This window comes from Homo sapiens, chromosome 16, assembly GCF_000001405.40.
Source record: "Homo sapiens chromosome 16, GRCh38.p14 Primary Assembly".
NCBI lineage: Eukaryota > Metazoa > Chordata > Mammalia > Primates > Hominidae > Homo > Homo sapiens.
In genome coordinates, this window is record NC_000016.10 from 33056143 (window position 1) to 33060900 (window position 4758).

The window sequence follows — 4758 nt, forward strand, 5'->3', positions numbered from 1 at the left end:
CATGGGATGATTCTGAATTAATTTTAAATGCGATAGGAATATATGAGATAATTTCACCAGAGAATAACATGATTGTGTTTGCATTTCAAAGGGGTGTATCTGGTGCACTGTGTAGAATAAATAGGTTATGTGAGCAAATAAATTGGGAGGCTACTCTAATCCAGAGAAAAAAGGTAGTGACTTAGGTGAGAATGCTGTCAGGATGAGTGGTAGTAGTGGTGAGAAGTCGTTAGGCCATGGATGTATTTCATAGGACTGGCCAAGAGAACTGCAGCTAAATTGGAGTGTAGGGAGTGAAATGGAGAACTCAAAGATGACTCTCAGCAATGGAAGGTGACAGCTGTCACTGAAGCATGCTGATGCCTCTTATTAAGAGAGTTACTTGGGAATGGCAAGATCAAAACTTCTCACTTTCAAATTTATGAAAAATATTGTTTTCAGAACAAATGACTTTGGGATCAGAAAGCCACCATTCTAATTGATGGTTCCACGACTGCACGGGCTCACACTCCCAAGAGCAAAAGTAAATCATCACAAAGGTGCTTCTTGATAATTCTAGAGAATGGAGAATTACTGTAACATCTTTCTGATTTTAGGAGAGGTAGCAGTTCCCTTTTTAGCCTAAACGCTATTTTTTTTTAAAGCTCAGCCAAGAGACTCCATTATAATTTTCAAATGTGTGTAACTTAAATTCTCATATGAAATACCACTATGCTTAAATTAGTCAAAACATTTTCCCCATCTACAACTCTATCTTGTCATTGCAATCATTTTCGCAAAAGTGACTGCAGCTCACAGACCCTAAAAGGAGAAAATCCAGGGTAGGTTATCTGATCTAGTTAGTTTCGAAGACAGGATCTAGAGATTATTTAATATGAAATAGGTCACCTGAAATGAAGTGTTTACTGAAAACAGCTTGGATCAACCCAGTTTTCTACCACTGAACCATGCATTTGGTTTAAAAAACACAACAACTCTGGGGAATATCGGCTGCTTCCAACTGTGTTGAAGGTGTTAAAGAAAAGGGCATACAATTTGAAATGATCATCTGAGGCCTTTATAGTCTCTGCTCAAGAGACTAGAGTCTTCCATTCTTAACGAAACACCCAAATATCTTAATAATTGGGCAAAATCTAAATATCAGAGATAATTTTATCTTGAAGATTGTTAAATTATAACGGTGATTCACTACCTTGCCACGTCTCTGAGTCAAAAATTAGGTCTTTGTTTAGGAACCAATCATAATCTGCAATTTGGAAATAGGAAGACTTTAGAAGACTCAGACATTGACTTTCTTGTGTGCAAAAAAAAAGACGTATTGAGATAAGACAAGTCTTTCCTTGCAAGGATACCTCTAATGCTCATACACCACCTCCCCTAACATTAATATAGCTTCCAGGTCACTAACCAGTGTCAGAGAGCAGCCCATGCAACTAGAAATTCAAAAGATGTCGAACATAGGGTCAAGCTTAGAATAAGACGTCTTAGCTAATTAAGTATGCTTTTTTCCCGAAATTCATATTAACAAAATCTTGGATATGTCAGAGAATGCATTCTAAGTTCACTCAACCTAGGAGGGAGAAACATAATTTTAAATTAAGAGCTGAAGCATTCTTGTCCTAACAGAAAGCAAGGAAAACGAAATATCACACCACAGGAGGGATTTCACAAATTAGTGTCAACATCAAAACCATAAAATAGGCAAGGAGAATGGAGATTCACAATGAACTCTTGTACTTTTGTTCAGAGAAGAGATGGTTCTGAGAGAATGACAGTGAACTCACCCCAGCTGGTTTAGTTGGTGCTTTCAACTGCTGCTTCTGATCAACTCCTTTAGCTAGAATAAACTGATGAGGATTTTGGCATGTGGTATTAGCGATGGTTATTAATTTTTTCCTCTTATTTGCATTGTTCAATATAGTAAATACTAGCTGTATATGGCTACTTCAATTCAAATTAATTACAATGAAATATACTTAAATATTGAATTTTTTAGTCACTCTTGGTTCATTATTGAATATCTTCAGCTAAGATTTCCCAACTAAAGACACTAAGAGGTGGCTTAGTTAACTGGTCGTCCACAAATATTGAAGCTGTTGTTAACTCCTGATATATTCTCTGCAAAGAGAATATTCATGAGCCTCCTCCTGAAATCAGCAGCCTAGAGATAGTTTTATAAATGGGATACAAGTTGGAAATCTATATACTCTTTAAGTGTTTGAAATATTAGCTTCCCAGGGAAGAAAATCAAATTCATAAGATATGTTAGGACAATTTAACTCAAGATGTTCAAAACTGAAATGACATATTCTACAACATGTGATAAAACCACCCCCTAACAACTTAAAGCAAAACAGGGATGGACCTTAAAGATCTGCCTTTTCCTCATCCCCCAGCCAATCAGTTTTCAAATCTTGCATTTTATTTTGAAAGGTCCTTATACCCCTGGTCTCTTGTTTCTAGACTTGGCACATATTTAAGTTTGTTACCTCTCTCTACTGACTTTTCTCTCTTCAAACAGTATCTATGCCTGCCAAATGTGAACATACAAAAAACAAATCAGAATGTGCCATTCTGATTTAAACTGCTTATTAATTAATACCCTCAAGATAACATCTGGGTTCTTAGCTTCAATGAGTCAAGCCTACTTACATCTTTTTTTGTCTTTGGCTTCACATTTCCTATCACATCCCATTCCAGCAATGCCAAGCTGTGCCGGCCTTCTACCCCATCTCCATTATTTTGCCCCCCCGTCGCCGCGGCTTTTTGCCCCCCCTGCCTCCGCGGCTTTTTGCCCCCCCTGCCTCCGCGGCTTTTTGCCCCCCCTGCCTCCGCGGCTTTTTGCCCCCCCCTGCCTCCGCGGCTTTTTGCCCCCCCCTGCCTCCGCGGCTTTTTGCCCCCCCCTGCCTCCGCGGCTTTTTGCCCCCCCCTGCCTCCGCGGCTTTTTGCCCCCCCCTGCCTCCGCGGCTTTTTGCCCCCCCCTGCCGCCGCGGCTTTTTCCCCCCACCGCGCCTCCGCTTTTTGCCCGCCGTGGCTTTTTGCCCCCCAAGCGCCAAGGCTTTTTGACCACCGCGGCTTTTTGACCTTCGCCACTGCGAATTTTGCCGCCATGGCTTTTTGCCCGCCGCGGCTTTGTGCCCCCCCAGCGCCAGGGCTTTTAGCCCGCCGCGGCGTTTTGACCCCTCGCCGCTGCGAATTTTGCCACCGCGGCTTTTTGCCCCCCGCCGCTTTTTGCCACCCCCCACCGCCGCGGCTTTTTGCCCCCCGCCGCTTTTTGAACCCCACCGCTTTTTGCCTCCAGGCCGCTGCGGCTATTTCCTCGCCGTGGCTTTTTCCCCCCTGCCCCCGCGGCTTTTTACCCACCGCGGCTTTTTGCCCCCACCCCGCCTCGGCTTTTTGCCCCCCGCCGCCGCAGCTTTTTCCCCACCGCAGCTTTTTAGCCCTCGCCGCCGCGGCTTTTTGTCCCCGCCGCCGCGGCTTTTTGCTGCCGCGACTTTTTGCCCCCGTCGCCGCCGCTTTTTGCCACCGCGACTTTTTGCCCCCGCCGCCGAGGATTTTTGTCCCCGCCGCCGCGGCTCTGAGGGCGGGAGCAGCAGACTCGGCTGCCGGCTCTACTGGCGTCCTGGCAAGGGCAGCGACCAGGGGTGCTCCTGGTCCAGCTCTCCTGGCTCAGGGATTCCTTGCCGAGGCGCCGGCGCCCCGGGCTCCTTGCCTAGGCCCCTGTGGCCTGCATAGAGTGGCGCTGCCTGCGGAGGCGATGGGAGAGAATAAGGAGGGCGGTGGCGGGGGTGATGCGGCGGCCACGGAGGGTGGCACAGGGGCTGCGGCCAGCCGGGCGCTGCAGCAGTGCGGGCAGCTCCAGAAGCTCATCGTCATCTTCATTGGCAGCCTGTGCGGGCTGTGCACCAAGTGCGCTGTGTCCAATGACCTCACCCAGCAGGAGATACAGACCCTGGAGGTAAGGGGTTCGGGGACCCGGGCTGGGCTCCAGGAGTGGCCTGGACACCTCCTTCGGGGCCCCAGTTCACTCCTGGCCGAGTTGCATCCTTGAGCCCACGTCACCCCCTTGGAGGCTTCCCCTCCCTCCTGCACTCGCTGACGCGGCAGCCAGAGGACCCGGGACCAGCCCTCACCTTGGGCAGGATTTGTGGAGCAGGCGCGTGGTGGGAACTGGGATGGAGGCTCCAGGGTCCCGTGGGGGTGGGGGTGGGCTGAGCGAGGACATCCCCTTACCCCCTGAATTTCCATCTGGTCCAGCCCTCTCATCTTGTAGGTGAGGAAACCGAAGGCCTGAGGGAGAAATGACTTGCCAGGAACCCCTGTTAAGGAAAATTAACAAAGTGTGGTTATTAAAGAAGAACTGAGTTGGGAGTCAGACCTGGAGGCCCCCACCCTTAGGTAAGACATTATACCACCTTGAGTCTGGCCTGTTGACTGAGGGTGAGCCACTCCATCCTCATGTGATTGTGGGGTCTTAACCTCAAGGGGTTTCCTGCAGGAAGAAGCAAATGGGTTTGCTTTCCTAGCTCTGTCCAGTACGTTAGGGACCCTGAGGACTGAAGGGATTCTTGGAGAGCCATCTGGTGTATGTCATGGGTGGGTCTTTTTTGAAGGTCAGTCTGCCCAGTGGGCTGGCTCAGCCCGAATGAACTGTCTTGAATCTTTGGAGTTGTCTGTGTACTTTTAAGGGCTTCTCAGCCGTGCACCAAAAGATCCCCCTGGAAATTAGGTGGGAAAAACCTTAACTTTTGTGGGGCC

The 4758-nt window shown here is 48.1% G+C and overlaps 1 pseudogene; it reads right to left on the minus strand.

Annotated features, from left to right (window-relative positions):
• Nucleotides 1–1354: 1354 nt before the first annotated feature.
• On the minus strand, nucleotides 1355–4400 carry LOC107984809 (translation initiation factor IF-2-like; annotated as a pseudogene).
• Between the last annotated feature and the right edge of the window lie 358 nt (nucleotides 4401–4758).